General features: G+C 48.6%; 1 long non-coding RNA gene, 1 other non-coding gene and 1 pseudogene across 4 annotated transcripts in view, besides 1 other annotated feature; 2 read left to right on the top strand and 1 right to left on the bottom strand.

Annotated features, from left to right (window-relative positions):
- SMG1P2 (SMG1 pseudogene 2) overlaps positions 1-20,605 on the top strand; it is a 68,707-nt pseudogene that overhangs the window by 8,766 nt on the left and 39,336 nt on the right. The window contains exon 1 of one of the 2 annotated variants that reach the window (NR_135305.1): positions 9,860-10,065. The exons of the other annotated variant lie outside the window; for it this stretch is intronic. The product of NR_135305.1 is annotated as an SMG1 pseudogene 2, transcript variant 2 (transcript). Of the gene's footprint in view, positions 1-9,859; positions 10,066-20,605 lie in introns of those variants that run through there. 2 annotated transcript variants of the gene reach the window in all.
- On the bottom strand, positions 1,297-7,161 carry LOC105371168 (uncharacterized). The gene is made up of 2 exons (XR_950984.3): positions 7,130-7,161; positions 1,297-2,564 (listed from the first exon to the last, which is right to left on the bottom strand). It is a non-coding gene; the product is annotated as an uncharacterized LOC105371168 (long non-coding RNA).
- On the top strand, positions 5,687-5,773 carry MIR3680-2 (microRNA 3680-2). Its single transcript, NR_049833.1, has one exon. It is a non-coding gene; the product is annotated as a microRNA 3680-2 (primary transcript).
- Positions 9,251-9,640: a silencer, noted in NCBI's record as "silent region_7326". NCBI's record gives its function as "represses an Ori minimal core promoter by ATAC-STARR-seq in GM12878 lymphoblastoid cells {active_cell/tissue: GM12878}" and the evidence as "EXISTENCE:reporter gene assay evidence [ECO:0000049][PMID:35858748]".

The raw sequence follows: 20,605 nt of genomic DNA, 5'->3' as shown, positions 1-20,605 counted from the left end.
GACGCCCGCAAACTCAATCCCTGCTGAGTCATCCTGACCTCGGGGTGGGCCAGCATCTGTCACTGCTGAGACACTATATGTGTGAGCTGCTTGTTAACGAGAAAGCCAGAGTCTGTAAAATATTTGAAGAGGTTTATCCGGAGTCAAATGTGAGGACCAAGGCCTGGAGGCCCTGAGGACATGTGCCCCAGGGGCTGGGCCACAGCTGGAGTTCATACCTTGTACAAGGACAGAAGTTACAGGCAGACATCAGTCAGTACATGAAAGGTATTTGTTGGTTCTGCCAAGAAAGGCGGGACAACTCCAAGGCAGGGATGGGCTTCCTGGTCACAAGTGGGTTCAAAGATTTCTTTTTTCTTTTTATATATATATATATATGTATACACACATATATATACACATATATACACATATATATACACATATACATATATATACACATATATATACATATATATATATTTTTTTTTTTGAGATGCTTTTGTTACTCAGGCTGGAGTGCAGTGGCATGATCTCAGTTCATTGCAACCTCCGCCTCCTGGGTTCAAGTGATTCTCCTGCCTTAGCTTCCTGAGTAGCTGGGACTACAGGCATGCACCACCATGCCCAGCTAATTTTGTGTTTTTAGTAGAGACGGGGGTTTCACCATGTTGGTCAGGCTGGTTTTGAACTCCTGATCTCAGGTGATCCACCCACCTTGGCTTCCCAAAGTGCTGGGATTACAGGCATGAGCCACCGTGCCTGGCAAAATATTTTCTGATTCACAATTGGTTGAAAGAGTTATTAGCTAAAGACCTGGAATCAATAGAAAGGAGTATCTGGGTAAGACAGGAGGTTGTGGAGACCAATATTGTGTTTTGTTTTGTTTTGTTTTTGTCACCCAGGCTGGAGTGCAGTGGCATGATCTCGGCTCACTGCAACCGGGTTCAAGAGATTCTCCTGCCTCAGCCTCCCAAGTAGCTGGGATTGCAGGTGCCTGCCGCCACCATGCCTGGCTAATTTTGTATTTTTAGTAGAGATGGGGTTTCTCCATGTTGGTCGGGCTGGTCTCGAACTCCTGACCTCATGATCTGCCCACCTCAGCCTCCCAAAGTGCTGGGATTACAGGCATGAGTCACTGAGCCAGGCCAAGATCTGTGTTTGAATGTTAGTGCTGGTCAGCTGTACCTGAATTCCAGAGGGAGGGGGTATAACAAGGCCTGTGTGACCCCTCTTCCCATCATGACCTGAGCTCGTTTTTCAGGTTAACTTTGGAATATCCCTTTGGCCAATAGGAGTGGTCCCTTCAGTCAGTTACGGGGCTTAGAATTTTATTTTTGGTGTACGTGCTCAAACTGCAGCTGCTACAAAACCAAGGCCACGGTGACCCCGGGGCCAGTCCAGCTTTGTCCCTGTGCTCTCGAGCTGCTGGAGGCCAATGCAGGATTCTGCCCACGGCTCACATGTGTGGCTTCAGACCCTGAGGGTTCTTGGGGCTGTGTCTTCACCTGGTACTGTGTAGGGGCCCTGTGAGCTGAGTCAACTGGAAGAGCCCAGAGCCTCTGCAGAAGGCCTGAGCAGGGCCCGGGCACTGTCCCTGGAGCTCTGAGTCCCTCAAGCTGTGTGGCCCGGAGCCAGGCGCTTGACTTCTCTGGTTGTTTGCTTCAGAGCTGGGAGCCTGGGGTGGCGTAGGTCTTTGGCAGGGGTCAGGTAGGGGAGGGGCCAGCCAGGAATCAAACATCCCTGACAGGTGAGGGGGCAAGTGAGGAGGGCAGGGCAGGAGCCCCTGGAGCACTTGTGCAGCAGCATCTGGACCGGTGCAAGCCCTGAGATGGCTTCAGGTCCTGCTCAGAGCTAAGGGCTCCCCGTCACCAGGGATTCTTCCATCACTGCACCTGCAGAGCCCATCGGGATTGGGGAGAGGCCCTGGCCTTAGTTTGGAACAGCTGCATCCGCCTGTCGGGTGTACAGGCTGTGCACTGGTTAAGCCTGAGCACAGAGTCTGTTCAACAAGTTCATTGTGTGGTATTTGCTTCCGCTTGCTGTTGAGTTGGACTGGCCTGGATGCTGGCCAGGAGCCCAAGTGGACTTGGTGCTTCTCTTTGACAGCCAGGATTGAAAAGCCTAGTTAAGTGGGCAGAGCACGAGGGTGAGATTTAGGAGACCTGGATGTCCTCACTTTGCCGCCCAGGAACTGCTGTGTGACTTTCAGCAAGTGGGACAACCTCTCTGAACTATGTTTACCCCAGCTATAAAATGGAGGTGTTGGATTGGCTGCCACAAGTGTCCTTCCACCTCCACAATACCGTGACTGGAGCGGGTTTTCACTCCTTTTTCTTGTTAGCATAACTGTTGGAGCTATAGAGGGTTTGGAGTGGGGTATGGGTTTCTGGGCCACAGATGTGTGAGGCTCCGCACTTAGCCAGCAGTGGCAACTCCTTATCACTGGTGCCCATGGCTTCATCTGTGCCCTGAAGATACTCATGCTGCAGTGACTGGTCAGATTAATGGTGATGCTTTCATGGGGCGCCGTAAGACATGTCCGCGAGGTATTTCGCCCATGCAACGGGAGGCAGTGTTCCAGTCTGTTGGAGACATGAAAGGGAGGCTCAGTCCCTGCAAAGGAACTTGCCCGAGTTCACACAGCATTTCAGCACTGGGTGGCCTGGCTTCAGAGTTTCAGAGGGAGGGGTGGCCCTTCCTGTCGGTCCTGGGGGTCTCCTGGAGTCAGGACCCTTGGGAAACCCAAATCCACCAGGACGCTTGCATCAGGAGAACCTGACTACATGAGAAGCTGCCCTTTTCCGGTTCTCCTGCTTACCCTTGACTTGGGGTGTCGGCAAATTTCAGAGCTTGCCAAATCTGCATCTTCCTGGCCTGTTTAAAATGAATGTGTCAGCCCCATTCTGGACAGCAGCTGACACCTCCTCCCCCGTGCCAGCCAGGACAGTGTGGTTGGGCGTAACTCAGCCCCGGTTAAAAATGGAAAAAAGTACAAAGACATGTGTTCAACGGCTGGTGACAGAATTTGAAAATGTGACACCAGCCTGTTAGTAATTTGTTTTCACAGAAACCTGATTCAACACTGAGCAGACAGGTGGGGCCAGGGCCTTGGGATCATCTCTGTTCTTGCCCAGGGACATCTGTATGTCTGGCCCAAAGCGGGGGCCTTGTGCTCTGCAGAGACTGGACATCAAAATTGAGCCATTATAAGCAGACCATCCTGGCCAGGCACGGTGGCTCACGCCTGTAATCCCAACACTTCGGGAGGCCAAGGTTGGCGGATCGCCTGAGGTCAGGAGTTCGAGACCAGCCCGGCCAACATGGTGAACCCTTGTCTCTACTAAAAATACAAAAATTAGGCGGGCGTGGTGGCAGGTGTCGGTAATCCCAGCTACTGAGGCAGGAGGCTGAGGCAGGGGGCAGGAGAATCACTTGATCCCCGGAGGCAGAGGCTGCAGCTACTCGGGAGGTAGAGGTGAGAGAATGGCTTGAACTCAGGAGGTGGAGGTTGCAGTGAGCCAAGATCGCACCATTGCACTCCAGCCTGGGCGACAAGAGCGAGACTTTGTCTCAAAAAAAAAAAAAAAAAAAAAAAAAAAAAATGGAAACACTGCCTTTGCTTCCCTGCCCCGGAACTGCTTCATTTTCCTTGGGGTTTCTGGACCACTTTGACCTCTCTCTGTGGCCAGCAATGGTGGGGAGGTGGGTGGATCTGGAGCTGGCATGGGCAGGCTCAGCATTCCAGCCCATTCTGGGGTGAGGTTGGCCTTGGGTGAGGACAGGGGTCACTGGGTCAGACATTCATTTTCTGGAGCCCAGGGGTGGTGACGTGTCCATCAGGGAAGCACGCGCCTGTGCTGGGGGGTGCTCCCTGGACCAGCAGCGCCGGCCTCCCTGGGACCTTGTTCTGTGCAGATGTGTTGTCTCCCTCTCCCCCGACCTGCCTGATCAGAAGCTCTGGGTTTCCATCCCGCTCCCCGACCACTGCTTTTACAAGTCCCCCCAGGGGATGACACGGGAGATGGTGGGGGCTGTCTATCAGTGGAGAAGGTGGGCGCTGTCTATTGGTGGAGATGGTGGGGGCTGTCTGTCGGTGAAGATGGTGGGGGCTGTCTGTCGGTGGAGAAGGTGGGGGCTGTCTGTCAGTGGAGATGGTGGGGGCTGTCTGCCGGTGGAGATGGTGGGGGCTGTCTGTCGGTGAAGATGGCGGGGGCTGTCTGTCGGTGGAGAAGGTGGGGGCTGTCTGTCGGTGGAGATGGTGGGGGCTGTCTATCAGTGGAGAAGGTGGAGGCTTGTACTCAGAGCAGGGGATATTTAGACTTGAAGGGGCCAGGGAGGAAGGTACTGGTTCTACTAAGCCCCATGTTCACTGGGCAGCCACTAAGTTTGGGACCGTGTGTGTACTGAGTGGATTCCGACAAAGAAGCTGTCTCAGGAGCCCCAGCCAGCTGCAGAGGGGGGCCCAAGCTCCAAGGCTGGGTGTCAGGTTTGCCAGGTGCTGGTTCGGCTAGGGGCCGCAGGCTGCGCTGGGCGGGACTGGGCTGGGCTGGTACCTGTGCCCGGTGTCAGGCCAGCTGTAGTTGCAGCGGTCAGCTGCCGCTCTCTGGCCCCATGCGAACTGCTGTGCCAGGTGCACCCTGGGGGACCAGGCTGCCTGGGCTTCCTGGAACTGGTGAAGTTGCCGCCACTTCCTCTATGCTGTCTCCAGCAGGCAATTCTGGGTAAACGATCTTCATTTGCCTATAAAGCTGCACAGCTCACAGGCCTTGGATCGTTTCTGCCCAGCCCCAGCATTGGCCCTTTGGACAGACTCTGAAACTGTGCGCAGAACGCACCCTGTCATTACAAATGACTCCTGGAGGCAGTCCCCGGGGGCCTGGCAGGAGCACCTCTGTTTCTGTTGGGTCTGAAAATGACAGACCAATTGCTTGAACCCAGGAGGCGGAGGGTGCAGTGAGCCGAGATCGAGACATTGCCCTCCAGCCTGGGCAACAAGAGCAGAACTCCGTCTCAAAAAAAAAAAAAAAAAAAAAAAAAAAAATCTTCACAAATGTAATTTGTAATGGCTGCAGAAAATTTCAGCTCTGAATGTACTGCATCCTAATCAGTTTCCTATTGTTGAGAATTAGTATAATATCCAGGTGTTTTGTTTTTGTTTTGCTATTAATAAGTAAAGCTGAGATGAATACTTCTGTATCAATCTTGATCCTTATTTTAGATAATTTCCATTTCATTCCTCCCATTTCTTGCGTGCTTCCTATGGTCAGGTGCTGTGCTGTGTGCTGAGTATGGAGGAGGTAGGCTGAGATAGACGTGACCTTTGCTCTTGCAAAGCTGATATCCTAAGGGTTGGACAGATGCTAAATGTGCAAAGAAACCCAATACTTGCAGATGGTGCTGGGTACTACCAAGGAAAGAAATAGGGTATATGACAGAGTACCTGGAAAGGGCACTGGCCAACTTTTATGGGCAGGGAGGTCAAAGCAAACCTGTCTGGAGATGAGACAGGCCAGGAAAATCAGGGCAGGGGCCAGAGTAGGGCAAATGTGGTGTCTAGAGCCTCATTTTTTTAGACGGATTCTCGCCCTGTTGCCCAGGCTGGAGTGCAAAGGCAGGATCTCGGCCCACTGCAACCTCTGCCTCCCAGGTTCAAGCAATTCTCCTGCCCCAGCTTCCTGAGTAGCTGGGATTACAGTACAGCCTCAAATTTAAGGAGGGACTCACTCACAGGATTGTGCAAATGCAAAGTTGGCTTTTGCATGACCCTGGGAGTAGGTGCCTCCTTAAATTTTGCACCCTCAGCAACTCCATCCCCTGTCACTTTGCTAGTCCCAACCCTGATGGGAACAAATGCAGGGAAGGCATTCCAGATGGCGGGAACAGCAAGTACAAAAATCCAGAGGCCAGAAAGGCTTGGTGTGTTTCAGGAACAGAAACTCGGTTCCCATGACTGAAATGGAGTAGGGAAATCCTAATGGAGCCAGAGAGGCAGAACCACCAACAGGAAGAAGAAAAAAATGTTGGAAGTTATGAGAGTTGCTCACGTTTGATTCATTTGATTAATTTTATTGAAATGGAGTCTCACTCTGTTGCCCAGGCTGGAGTGTAGTGGCACGATCTAGGCTCACTGCAACCTCCACCTCCTAGGCTTAAGTGATTCTCTCATCTCAGCCTCCCAAAGTGCTGGGATTACAGGCGTGAGCCAGCATGCCCCACCTGAAGCAATTTCTTTGTTGTCTTTTTTTTTTTTTTAACTTCTCCCATAGAAATAATTAACCCTCAAAAAACACTCAGTGTTGACAAAGGGTGGTGTGAGGACACAGAAAGTATCAGACTATCATTGGCAGAAACTTCCTGGAAAGCAACTTAACAGTCTGTATCCAAAGACTTAAAATCATTAACAGCCTTTTCCCCAATAACTCCACTTCTCGGAATCTATCCTAAGGAAATCTGCCACAGCCAGAGTGATTTTTTCCGTCCCCTTAAGAAATGGTCTCATCCTGTTGCCCAGGCTGGAGTGCAGCGGCACCATTATGGCTCACCACAGCCTGAAACTCGTGGGCTCAAGCGATTCTCCCACCTCAGCCTCCCAAGTAATTGGGATCACAGGCATGCCTCCACATCCATATGCCTAGTTGGATAATATTTTGACCAATAAAGAAAAAGAGGGCCAGGCGCGGTGGCTCACGCCTGTAATCCCATCACTTTGGGAGGCCGAGGCGGGTGGATCACGAGGTCAGGAGATTGAGACCATCCTGGCTAACACGGTGAAACCCTGTCTCCACTAAAAATACAAAAAACAAAATTAGCCGGGCTTGGTGGCGGGCGCCTGTAATCCCAGCTACTCGGGAGGCTGAGGCGGGAGAATGGCTTGAACCCGGGAGGCAGAGCTTGCAGTGAGCCAAGATTGCGCCACTGCACTCTAGCCTGGGCGACAGAGCGAGACTCCTTCTCAAGAAATAATAATAATAAAATAAAAAAATAAAAAAGAAAAAGAAAGGTAGTACCAGAGATTGTGTCCAGTTGCTCAAGCAATTTCTAACTTGTCTAATTTTAAAATTTTTTAAATTTTTATACAAAATTAGCCAGGCATGGTGGCATGTGCCTGTAATCTCAGCTACTTGGGAGGCTGAGGCAGGAGACTCACTTGAACCTGGAAGGCAGAGGTTGCAGTGAGCTGAGATCACACCATTGCACTCCAGCCTGGGCCACAAGAGTGAAACTCCGTCTGAAAAAAAAAAATTTAATTTTTTTTTGTAGAGATGGGGGTCTCACTATGTTGCTCAGGCTGGCCTATAACTCCCAGGCTCAAGGATCTTCCAGTCTCAGCCTCCCATCACTGTAATTACAGGCATGAATCACTTCACCTAAATGATTTTTTTTTTTTTGAGACAGTCTTGCTCTGTCACCCAGGCTGGAGTTCAGTGGCACGATCTCGGCTCACTGCAACCTCTGGCTCCCGGGTTCAAGCAATCCTCATGCCTCAGCTTCCCCAAATAGCTGGGACTACAGGTGTGCGCCACCATGCCTGGCTAATTTTTGTATTTTTTTGTAGAAACGGGGTTTCACCATGTTTGTCAGGCTGGTCTCTTGACCTCAAGTGATCCACCCACCTCGGCCTCCCAAAGTGCTGGGATTACAGGAGTCAGCCATCCATGGTGCCCTGCCTTTTCTCTTTCTTCTCCTCCCTCCCTCCCTACCCTCCGCAGCCCAGGCTGGAGTGCAGTGGTGGGATCATAGGTCACTGCAGCCTCCACCTGCTGGACTCAAGTCATCCTCCTGCCTCACCCTCCTGAGTTCCTGGGACCACAGGCACGCGCTACCACGCCGGGTAATTTTTGTAGTCCCCATCATTTAGAACTGGCAGGATCCTCCCTTAGTGAGGGATTGGTGGCCATAAGCAAGGAGCCCAAGGTGGAGGGGATATGCATGTGTGTGGAGGTGTCAACTCCTCATAATCTTCAAGTACTTTTGGTTACAATTTTTAATTGCACAAGCGATATATAAAGACGTTTTCTTTGCAACATAAAATGATAGGTTAAGACTCCTTATGCAGATAAGGTTTAGACACTTGTTTAAGGAGCATCCTGGCCCACCTTTTAAAAAATGTGTATGCATTCACTTTATGCATCAGATGGTTTAGGGAATTTTTTTCCCTGGGGCATGGGACATGTCATGGGGTAGATGGTCAGGTACGTCTCCTCTACCCAGCTGATTCTCTTTTTTTTTTTTTTTTTTTTTTTGGAGACGGAGTCTTGCTCTGTCGCCCAGGCTGGAGTGCAGTGGAGCGATCTCTGCTCACTGGGAGCTCCGCCTCCCGGGTTCACGCTATTCTCCTGCCTCAGCCTCCGGAGTAGCTGGGACTACAGGCGCCCGCCACCACGCCCAGCTAATTTTTTGTATTTTTTAGTAGAGACGGGGTTTCACCGTGTTAGCCAGGATGGTCTCGATCTCCTGACCTCGAGATCTGCCCGCCTCGGCCTCCCAAAGTGCTGGGATTACAGGCGTGATCTACCGCGCCCGGCCTTCTCTTTCTTTTCTCCTTTCCTTTCCTTTCCTCCCTCCTTTCCTTCCTTCCTTCCTCCCTCCTTTCCTTCCTTCCTCCCTCCTTCCCTCCCTCCCTCCTTTCCTTCCTTCCTTTTTCTTCCCTCCCTGCTTTCTCTCTCTCTCTTTTATTTTTTTGAGACAGAGTTTCACTCTTGTTGTCCAGGCTGGACTGCAATGGTCTGATCTCGGCTCACTGCAACCCCGGCCTACTGGGTTCAAGCGATTCCCCTGCCTCAGCCTCCCAAGTAGCTGGGATTACAGGCGTCCTCCACCATGCCCGGCTAATTTTTGTATTTTTAGTAGAGGCGGGGTTTCTCCATGTTGGCCAGGCTGGTCTGGAACTCCTCACCTCAGATGATCCGCCCACCTCGGCCTCCCAAAGTGCTGGGATTACAGGCGTGACCCACCGCGCCTAGCCCCCAGCTTCTTTCACCAGCAGAAGGCGGGCAAGCCTCAGGGTGAGAGGACTTCAAAGCACATTTCACATTGCAGAGGACAGGGTTTGGTGGTCGTGGGTACTCCCTTCCCTTACATCGTTTAGTTTTTTTCATTGGGAAGAAATGGTAAAAGGTGCTAGGACTCGATGGGCACATTTCAGGTGGAGGTTGGGAAGGTGGATATCCACCTCTCGATCTTACTATTTTCACTTTCCACTCCCCCCCGTAGAAAGTGGGAAAACTGGCGCACGTGAAACCAAGGGCACGCCTGTGTGCGCTCGCACCCCAGGGCACCAGCCCCCACCACCCACACTGCAGGTCCTTGATTGGACGCCTGTTTACACCTGACTGCCCAGCCCTCCGGTGCTTTCCGGGAAGCGTTTGGGAGAAAAGTGTGTGGCCGCAGTAGTGGAGATCCCTTGTCTTAGGATTCGTCACTACTACGCCCAGACCTCTTCGCCGTCCAAGAGCCTGGGGCCGTGGGGGGCGGGGCGGCCTGCTATCGGCCCCGCCTCTCTCGGCCCCGCCCCGCCGACAGGACCCGCCTCTCTCCCCAGGCCCGGCGGGGCCGACCCCGCCTCTCGCTCCCAGCATGCCGTGCGACAGTGGCGGCGCGGCGGGCGGAGCCGGGAGGCGGGGAAGCAGTGGCCTTGTGAGCGTGGGGAGCTGCCGCCACCGCCTGCTCCTCGTCGTCCTCGTCCTCCGGGGCCCCGGCGTCGTGGGCCGCGCATGGCCCTGGAAGAGAAGTCGGCGCCCCTTCATCCGCCTCTCTCTCACCGCGCCGCTCCCGCCTCCTCATTCTGCGTTGCGGGCTCAGGCGGAACCCGGAACGGCCGTCCTCTTACCCCGCCCTCCGCCGCCGCCTCCTCCTCCTCCTCCTCCTCCTCCTCCTTCTCTTCCTCCTCCTCGGCTTCCTCCTCAGCCCCGGGCCGGAGCGGGGTGTCGGCAGCGGCCGGTTCGGGCGGCGACTCGCGCTTCTCTGGGCGGCGGCGCTTGGCCATGTCGTGTCGGGGAAGGTAATGAGCCGCAGAGCCCCGGGGTCTCGGCTGAGCAGCGGCGGCACCAACTATTCGCGGAGCTGGAATGACTGGCAACCCAGGTGGGTGACCGGCCCGGGACCCCGCCCCGACCTCCCGGGCTCCGCCTCGGGCGGGCCGAGGCCTAGGGCCGCGGGGCTGGGAGGCGCGGCCTAGGCCCTCCACCCACCGGAGCCGGGCGCGGCTTCCTGGTTCTCCTCCGCCCCGGCTGGGGGAGGAAGGCCACGGGGAGGCGAGGCCTAAGTGCCTCTCCCCTCCCTGCATGTTCAGCCTGGGGCTGAAGCCGAGACCCGGGGCTCCCGGCGGTGGCACTGGCCTAGGGTCGGGACCAGGAGGTGAGAAAGAGGCGGGGGTGGTGGGGGGGCATTCCACTTACCGCCTCCCCCTGACCCCGAGTTGGGAGATCCTGAGAGTCCAGGACCCTCCCTGTTACTCATTCACTTTCTCGGTTCCCCAGTCTTTCAGCCGCCACGTGAGAGCTCTTGTAACCTCTGTTCCCTTTCTGTGACCCCCACGTGGTAATATTGAAAAAACCAAAACAAAACTCCAGCCAAGGCATTGCTCTGACTTTAGGCAGAACATTCATTAGTGGAGCATGAGATGAGATTGTGTGACTGTTGATGGGATCGACCCACTCTGGTCTTGGGCGATGGAAGTTTTCCCTAAGTGCAAGGCCGGTTACTCTGGTGAATCGTAATTCATACCTGGACACTTGAGTGAACTCTTTGGGCACCCACTTAGAAGTCTAGAGAATTTCCTCTTTTATGGAGGATTTGATCTCAGACCGTTTTGGGGCTTAGTTAGATTTGAATATATTAGGAACATTAACTTTTTAAATAAATGTAATTTCCTGTCTTTTTGATCAATGGGGGGAGGGCAGCTGTGCCTAATTTAGGATTGATTTATTCTAACCTCTCTTACTAAATAAATGCTTGTATTCAGAGTCTGTTTGGAATTTAACCCAATGCTTAGAACTCCTTAAATATACAGAAATATATTTTAGGGGCAATTGATTCATGGAACTCTCCTACTTTGGAGCACAATTGTATTATAATTGTCCGGAAACTGGCCAGATAATGTAGAACGCACAAGTTGTTGAGAAGCCCTTTTGTTTCCTGATAGTTACATGTAATTCCAGCAGTATTTGGAAATAATTTGCTAAGATGTTAGAATGTAACATTTGAAGACTCATTAGAAAAATCAATAAAATTATCTTTGGCTAATGGGTAGTACACATCTTAGTCTGTTTAATATGCCTTTCCAAAAAAAACTGTGTCTGTTGAGAATTGGTGTATATAACTAGATGACTTTAATAATTAGTGCCTGAGTCTAGAATTGAGATGTTTAGTCGTAAAAAAAAAATATTGTTCGATAAACAGCGTTGACTTGTCTTGTACCACTTAAGAGTTTGTGAGTGCTTTAAATAAAATTAGTTAAGTATTTTTCTTCCTATGATTGACATGCTTAGTTTTGCCTTTTTATTGAAATGTGTGAAATTTGATTATCTGGCATCTAACAAATCAGGTGGTAAATGAATGACAATGGATTTTCTATTATTTTTCAGTATTGTGATCAGTATAAGTATTTAAGAGAATTTAGTAACCTTTTAGAAGAATAAAGTGCCTTCCCAAATAGTCCTACAGCTTTTGTAAAGTGTAAATTGTAGTTTGTAGTTCTAAATAAATAGAGAAGAGTCGCAGCCACGTGCTAGGGCCAGCTGACTTCATTGCTGACAGGTATGAAGCCAAATGGCTTATGTAGTTATGGAATATGTACATAAGCTATTAATAAATATTATCCATGTTGTTTCTTTCAAGTGCTTTATTTCTTGGCTCTGGGGAGGGGCGATGTGGGAAGGGAGGAGCTTACAAGAAAGCTTGCAAGGTTTCTTTGAAGCTGTGCTTTTTGTAGGAAAGTTTCAGGATGTAACGCCTTGGTAGACGATACTGTGATACATTTGGTTACAGGGAGTAACAGTTTGTTAGGATGTTGGAAAGATTTGATTTTCTCCTGTTGTAGAGGGAACAGGAAAGTGTGGACATACCCCATAGCATAACTTGATTTGTTGCTAAGATTGTCATAGCTGATTTGTTAGTCAATAAAAATACCTGGGGTGTTTGCCAAGTCATAAATTTTTATTAGTTAAATTTGAGGTGATTCTGTCCCCTATTCAGAAAGATGACAGACTCCAGGTAACTGACGGAACGGATCTTGATCTTGCTTCTTGCTTAAATGAAGGTTTAGAACATCTTCAGATGCAGGCACATTTATTATGGTTCATCTGAATAATTTTGGTGAAAATTTTTTTTGCCTCTTATGTACCATTTTGTCCCTGGTGTTTTGGTTCTGTTTTCCTTGATGTAGGCTTTTTTTTTTGTCTTCCTGAGATGGAGTCTTGCTCTGTCTCCCAGGCTGGAGTGCAGTGGTGTAATCTCGACTCACTGCAGCCTCTGCCTCCCGCTTACAGGGAAAAATTCTCCTGCCTCAGCCTCCTGAGTAGCTGGGATTACAGGCGTCCAGCTAATTTTTGTATTTTTAGTAGAGACGGGATTCCACCATGTTGGCCGGCCTGTTCTTGGACTCCTGACTCAGGTGATCCGCCTGCTTTGGCCTCCCAAAGTGCTGGGATTACAGGTGTAAGTCACCGCACTCAGCCGATTTAGGCTTTTGAAAAAGCAATACTTGTTGATTTCTTTTAGTGTTAGTTTGCCAGTTGGTGTGGAAAATGACTGTTGAGTCAATTTTGACCACACATGATACTTCACACATACAGACAGGAAGTGTTCCAGGTGGCTGAATACGTGAATGTCATATGGCAAGAGAGCAAACCCGTGTTCCATAGAAGCATACCTCCAACAGTAAGCATTTATATGGCACTGGCTTATAGTCTTCCTTTTCATTCACTGTGCTCTCAGTCAACTCTTCTGTCAATTTTTTTGAGACAGGGTCTTGCTGTGGTCACCCAGGCTGGAGTGCAGCGGCACAGATACTTGGCTTACTGCAGTCTCGACCTCCCAGGCTCAAGCCTCCTGCCTCAGCATCCACAAGTAGCTGGGGCTACAGGCGCTTGCCAACAGCCCGGCTCATTTTTGTATTTTTTATAGAGATGGGGTTTTCACCACGTTGCCCAGGCTGGTCTTGAACCCCTGAACTCAAGCAATCTGCCCACCTTCAGCCTCCCAAAGTGTTGAGATTATAGGTGTGAGCCACCGCACCCGACATTTAAGAATGGTTAAGCAGGCTGGGGGCAGTGGCTCACGCCTGTAATCCCAGCACTTTGGGAGGCTGAGGTTGGTGGATCACCTGAGGTCAGGAGTTCGAGACCAGCCTAGCCAACCGACATGGTGAAACCCCCGTCTCTCCAAAAAAAAAAAAAAATAAATAAATTAGCAGGATGTGGTGGTGCATGCCTGTAATCCCAGTTACTCGGGAGGCTGAGGCAGGAGAATCACTTGAACCTGAGAGGCGGAGGTTGTAGTGAGCGACATCACACCACTGCACTCCAGCCTGGGCAACAGAGCAAGACTCCTTCTCAAAAAAAAAAATAAAAAATTAAAAAAAGAATGGTTAAACAAATGAGTGGTCTTAGGTCAGTTGTATTATTTGAAATCTGTGGGTTCCTCAAGCGTAAAGTTGAGAAGGTTTTGGGAACCACTGGATGCCTCTGGTTTTTTTCATATGAAGAAACAGAGGTGGTGGCTTCTTAGAACAAAGGGATATCTGACCTATGGAGGTTGCCCTCTTTACTCCTCTTCCCTAAAAAAATGACCTATCATTGCCAATAGCTAAAGTCTGTCATTTTTTCCACCTTAGTTTGGAAGATAATCTTCTAGTATCAATCAAGACAGAGATCAGAATGATGTGTTTTAAATGTGTAATTCATAATTGTACATTTTAATATTCTAAAGTGACATTGATTAATTTGACATTGGAGTCAAGTAGATTGATTAATTCAACAAAGAAGAGAAGGCATTCAAGTCAACAGAAAACAAGTAGATTTTACTTCTCCACTGGGGGTGTTAGGACATTAATTATGTACTTGGTCTTACTTGTTTAGTAGTAGATCTATATTGAGTGTCTTACTGTGCCCAAACTTAGGATCTTTGTATATTTCTAAAAGGATGAAACTGTATAATAAAAACACCTTCCAATTTTGGTAGATTGTAGACAGATCAGAGTATTCAAAAGTATACACATCTTCTCTATTGTGAAAGACCAAAAAATGGAAATGTGTTGTGAAATTAGAAAAGCTGTATACTAGTATGTCTGATGTTGTGAGAAGCTGGATTTTTGAAACCAGAGTTGTCTGTTCAGCCTTTTATCAGTCTGTACTAAGTTTGATGTCCATAGGTACATAATATAGGGAAATACATAAAGGATAAAATTAAGTGAAGTTACATATTTTATACTTATTAGGTGGGTGCAAAAGTAATTGCGGTTTTGGCAAAAACCGCAGTTACTTTCACACCAGTCTAATATTAAATGGAACTAGAGTCAAATAGAATTTAGCGATTGCCAGTTCTGTTCCACAGATTTCAAAGTACACTAAGGAAAATTTCAGCAAATTGTGCATGGCTGTTTTACTTGGGGGAGAGTAAAACGGCCATAATAAACTAAAAAATAAAAATTAAAACTAAAGGAACGTTTGTTTTTATGTTTTTCTTTTCTTTTCTTTCCTCTTTTTTGAGATATGCTCTTGCTCTGTTGCCCAGGCTGGAGTGCAGTGGTGCAATCACTGCTCACTGCAGCCTTGACTTCCTGGGCTCTGGGAATCCTCCCGCCTTAGCCTCCTGAGTAGCTGGGACCACAGGTGCATACCACCACACCTGACTAATTTATTTATTTTTCCTCTCTCTCTCTCTCTCTTTTTTTTTTTTTTTTTTGAGACAGAGTTTTACTTTGTTGCCCAGGCTGGAGTATAGTGGCACAATCTCAGCTCACTTGCAACCTCCACCTCCTGGTTCAAGTGATTCTCCTGTCTCAGCCTTCCAAGTAGCTGGGAATACAGGTGCATGCCACTATGCCCGGCTAATTTTTCTGTTTTTAGTGGAGATGGGATTTCACCATGTTGGCCAGGCTGGTCTTGAACTGCTGACCTCAGGTGATCCACCCGCTTTGGCCTCCCAAAGTGCTGGGATTCCAGGCATGAACCACCATGCCTGGCCTCCTCTCTCTTTTTCTGAAACAGAGTCTCACTCCAGTGCCCAGGTTGGAGTGCAGTGGAACCATCTCAGCTCACTGCAGCCTCCATCTTCCAGGCTCAATAAGTCCTCCTACCTCACCCTCCCAATAGCTGGGACCACAGGTGCATGTCACCACCCCCAGCTACTTTTTTTTTGTTGTTTTCTGTAGAGACGGGGTTTTGCCATGCTGCCTGGACTGGTCTTGAATACCTAGGCTCAAGTGATCCTTCCTCCTTGGCCTCCCAAAGTGCAAGGATTACAGGTGTGACCCACCATGCTTGGCACGCTAATTTTTTATTTTTATTTTTTTGTAGAGATGGGGCCTCCCCATGTTGCCCATGCTGGTGTCAAACTCCTACTCCAGTATGAAATAAGTCATTCCTTATGAAACAGTTAGTAATCGTATCTTTAAGTTGAACCTTCCCCTCACCCCAACTTTTTTTTTTTTTTTTTTTGAGACGGAGTTTTGCTCTTGTTGTCCAGGCTGGAGCGCAATGGTGCAATCTTGGCTCACTGCATCCTCCGCCTCCCAGGTACAAGCTGTTTTCCTGTCTCAGCCTCCCAAGTAGATCAGATTACAGGCATGTGCCACCACACCCGGCTAATTTTTTTATATTTAGTAGAGACGGGGTTTCACCATGTTAGGCTGGTCATGAACTCCTGACCTTAGGTGATCCACCTGCCTCGGCCTCCCAAAGTGCTGGGATTACAGGTGTGTGCCACTGCACCCCGCCTTTTTTTTAAAGACATAGTTTCACTCTGTCTCCCAGGCTGGAGTGCAGTGGCACGATCTTGGCTCAGTACAACCTCCACCTCCTGGGTTCAAGTGATTCACGTGCCTCTGCCTCCCGAGTAGCTGGGACTACAGGTGCATGTCACCAGGCCTGGCTAATTTTTTATTAGAGACCGGGTTTCGCCATGTTGGCCAGGCTGGTCTCGAACTCCTGACCTCAAGTTCCCACCTTGTGCTTCTCAAAGTGCTGGGATTACAGGAGTGAGACACCGTGCCTGGACTCCCCAACCCATTTTGTTTTTATTCCTTTATAAATTAGTATAATGGAAGGTTTTTTTGTTTGTTTTTTATAACAGGTAATAAAATACTCTAATTCAGTAAATATTGATGCTTCTAGGGAGATGTGTGTGTGTGTGTGTGTGTGTGTATAAATTTTTTTTTTTTTTTTTTTTAAGATGGAGTGTTGCTCTGTTGCCCAGGCTAGAGTGCAGTGGTGCAATCTCGGCTCACTGCCAGCTCCACCTCCTGGGTTCACTCCATTCTCCTGCCTCAGCCTCCCGAGTAGCTGGGATTGCAGGTGCCCGCCACCACGCCTGGCTAATTTTTTGTATTTTTAGTAGAGATGGGGTTTCACCGTGTTAGCCAGGATGGTCTCGATCTCCTGACCTTGTGATCCGCCCGCCTCGGCCTCCCAAAGTGCTGGGATTACAGGCGTGAGCCACCGTGCCCGGCCATAATTTTTTTTTTTTTTTGAGATGGGGTCTCACTGTATTGCCCAGGCTGAAATGCACTGGTGCAATCTTGGCTTACTGCAACCTCGGCCTCCTGGGTTCAAGCGATTCTCCTGCCTCAGCCTCCCAAGTAGCTGGGATTACAGGCATGTGCCACTACTCCTGGGTAATTTTTGTATTTTTAGTAGAGACGGGGTTTCGCCATGTCGACCAGGCTGGTCTCGAACTTCTGACCTCAAGTGATCTGCCTGTCTTGGCCTCCCAAAGTGCTGGGATTACAGGCACAAGCTACTGCACTGGGCCACGGCCAGGATTTTTATGACTTGTAAAACCACTGTCTTCAAGGAGGCTATAAGTTATTATGGGAGAAAAGTAAAGGGCTTTGTGAAGGGGAGAGCATGTGGATTTTGTGATGTAATTCTCAGTATACCTTCCTTCCTTCCTTCCTTTCTTTTTTTTTTGAGACAGTCTTGCTCTGTCACTTAGGCTGGAGTGCAGTGGCATGATTGACAGGGTTTCGCCAGGTTGGCCAGGCTGGTCTTAAACTCCTAACCTCAGGTGATCTGCCCGCCTTGACCTCCCAAAGTGCTGGGGTTACAGGCCAACATGGTGAAACCCCATCTCTACTAAAAATACAAAAATTAGCTGGATGCAGTGGTGGGTGCCTGTAATCCCAGCTACTTGGGAGGCTGAGGCAGGAGAATCGCTTGAACCCAGGAGGTGGAGGTTGCAGTGAGCCAAGATCATGCCATTGCACTCCAATTTGGGTGACAGAGCGAGACTGTCTCAAAAACAAAAACAAAAACTTGGAGGGTCAGAGGAGGGAAAATGGGGTGATGGAATTGGTCTGTACAGTTTTCACTGTGAATTTGGGGGAGAATCCCCCCCAAAATAGAAGAAAATTAGGATAAGGCCAGGTGCAAATTGTCAGTGTGTAGAGGAATTGGGTACTTATGAGGAGTAATATAAATAAGAGGTGAAGCTGAAGCACTGGGTTGGGAACCCTATTGTAGACCTTTAATCATAGTTCAGGTGTTTTTTTGTTTGTTTGTTTGTTTGTTTTTGGAGACAGAGTTTTTGCTCTTGTTGCCCAGGCTGGAGCACAATGGTGCCATTTTGGCTCACTGCAACCTCCGCCTCCCGGGTTCAAGCAGTTCTCCTTCCTCAGCCTCCCAAGTAGCTCTAGGGATTACAGGCACGCACCACCACACCTGGCTAATTTTTTGTATTTACTAGAGACGGGGTTTCACCATGTTGGTCAGGCTTGTCTTGAACTCATGACCTCAGGTGATCCACCCATCTCGGCCTCCCAAAGTGCTGGGATTACAGGCGTGAGCCACCACCCTGGCCCAGTTTAAGTGTATTTGGAGTGACTTTAGGGAATCATTGAAATTTTACCTGCCGGAAAGTGGCACAATTTAGGAAGATTAAATCTAGTTGCTTCTTGAAAAAGTGTGTGGGCTGGCCATGGTGGCTCATGCCTGTAATCCCAGCAGTTTGGGAGGCTGAGGTGGGTGGATCTCCTGAGGTCGGGAGTTCGAGACTAGCCTGACCAACATGGAGAAACCCCGTCTCTACTAAAAATACAAAATTAGCCGAGTGTGGTGGTGCATGCCTGTATTCCCAGCTACTCGGGAGGCTGAGGCAGGAGAATTGCTGGAACCTAGGAGGCCGAGGTTGTGGTGAGCTGAGATTGCACCGTTGCACTCCAGCCTGGGCAACAAGAGCAAGACTCCGTCTAAAAAAAAAAAAAGTGTGTGTGTTAGAGTGCGTGCACACACGTGCAAGAGAGATCGCAGTGGGAGGCAGTTAATTGGAACAATATAGAGAAGGGGCTGCTAAGGACCTGAGTATTATGTTTATATTTAACAATTTAAATTAAGATAAGGCTGTGTATGGTGGCTCACACCTGTAATCCCAGCACTTTGGGAGGCCAAGGTGGGTGGATCACCTGAGGTCGGGAGAGACCAGCCTGACCAACGTGGAGAAACCCCGTGTCTACTAAAAATACAAAAATTAGCCGGGCGTGGTGGCATATGCCTGTAATCCCAGCTACTTGGGAGGCTGAGGCAGGAGAATCACTTGAATCCGGGAGACGGAGGTTGTGGTGAGCCGAGATCGAGCCATTGCACTCCAGCCTGGGCAGCAGGAGCGAAACTCTGTCTCAAAAAATAAATAAATTAATTAATTAATTAAGGTAAAAGTGTTCAGCTCAATATGTGAGAATTTCCATAAGCAAAAGCCCCTCATTTGTTATCTGGTGTTGATTGAGGATGATTACTAAAGTGATACTTTTTATCTGCTCAATCTTCATGTTAGACACATGTATGGAATGTCATTTAAGTGTCATATAAAATGGAGTGTGGTCCATGGTGTCTTTTGGGAACATTGAATTGTTAAATTCTTTAGGATTTTCTGCCTTTGTTATCTGGCTCTTGTTCCTTATCCTAATCACCTAAAACAAATCCCTGAGGCTCCTTTCATTGGACCACCCTTAATGATTTAGAGGAGCTGTTTGTTAATCTTTTCACATTGTCATCATTTTGGTTACCTGTCTTTGACTATCTTGAAGTTTTTCAGAGCCCATTTTATTTTTGGAACTATAAAATGAAACATACTTCCCCTTGTATAGAGGCCTAACAGTAAAGATTACAGAAATTTTGTGGTTTCATATGTATAGGAAATGCTTCCTTATTCTGTATTTTTGTTTTTTGTTTTTTTTTTAATGTAGAGTATAACTTACTAAATTCTTGTGGAGTTCGCTCATGCAGAGATACTTGGTTTTATAATGTTATTCTTTTCCATCTTGTATTAATCGAGTGTACTTTTCCTTTTTAAATTGATTTCGTTTTTGAATTCTATTGTGGTGCTTCTTTGAGATAAAATTTATGTATGTATAGGTGGTGGTGGTTTTTTTTTTTTTCTTTTTTTCTTTTGAGGTGAAGTCTCGCTCTTATCTCCCAGGCTGGAGTGCAATGGTGCGATCATGGCTCACCGCAACCTCCGCCTCCCGGGTTCAAGAGATTCTCCTGCCTCAGCCCCCTGAGTAGCTGTGATTACAGATGCCTGCCACCACGCCTGGCTAGTTTTTGTACTTTTAGTAGAGATGGGGTTTCACCATGTTGGCCAGGCTGGTCTGGAACTCCTGACCTCAGGTGACCCATCCGCCTCAGCCTCCCAAAGTGCTGGGATTACAGGCGTGAGCCACCACGCCCGGCCTGTATAGGTCTTAAATTCAGTAAATTTTGACAAATGTATACACCTGTGTAACCATGACCTCAGTCAAGGTACAGATATGCAGTGACTTTTTCACTATCACACCCATTCCTGCCACTTTTTTTCATATCCTTACCACTATCTGGAATTTTTATGTGTGCCATCTCTAGTAAAATACAATCTGCATATGTGCATGGATCTGGTAAAATTGTTACTTTTGCTATCCCCTTCTTTCCTACTAAGTGCATCAATAAATAGCATCCACTCTATATTTGTGTCTTTCCTCAAGTAAATTCATGAAAACGAGATCCTGCAAGTTTGTGTTTTTATATTAAGTGTTAACTCTAGAGATTACAACACTGTTCTTGTAGGATGTGTTTTTGGGGAAAGCATTCCTCTTATGGCAGCCCTGTTAGCCTGAGGCAGGGCTTAAACAAACTGATTGAGCAGGCTCAAAAGGACAGTATCGTAATGGACTGGAGTGGCCAGATCTTTTTACAGAAGAAAGAATACGGTAATTTGGCCACGCGCAGTGGCTCATACCTGTAATCTCAGCACTTTGGGAGGCCGAGGTGGGCGGCTCATGAGGTCAAGGGATCAAGACCATCCTGGCCAACATGGTGAAACCCCATCTCGACTAAAAAATATACAAAAATTAGCTGGGCATGGTGGCACACGCCTGTAGTCCCAGCTATTCAGGAGGCTGAGGCAGGAGAATTGCTTGAACTTGGGAGGCAGA

This window comes from Homo sapiens, chromosome 16 (genome assembly GCF_000001405.40).
Source record: "Homo sapiens chromosome 16, GRCh38.p14 Primary Assembly".
Taxonomy (NCBI): domain Eukaryota; kingdom Metazoa; phylum Chordata; class Mammalia; order Primates; family Hominidae; genus Homo; species Homo sapiens.
Note: the sequence above shows the minus strand (reverse complement) of the source record. Positions and strands in the feature narration are given on the sequence as shown.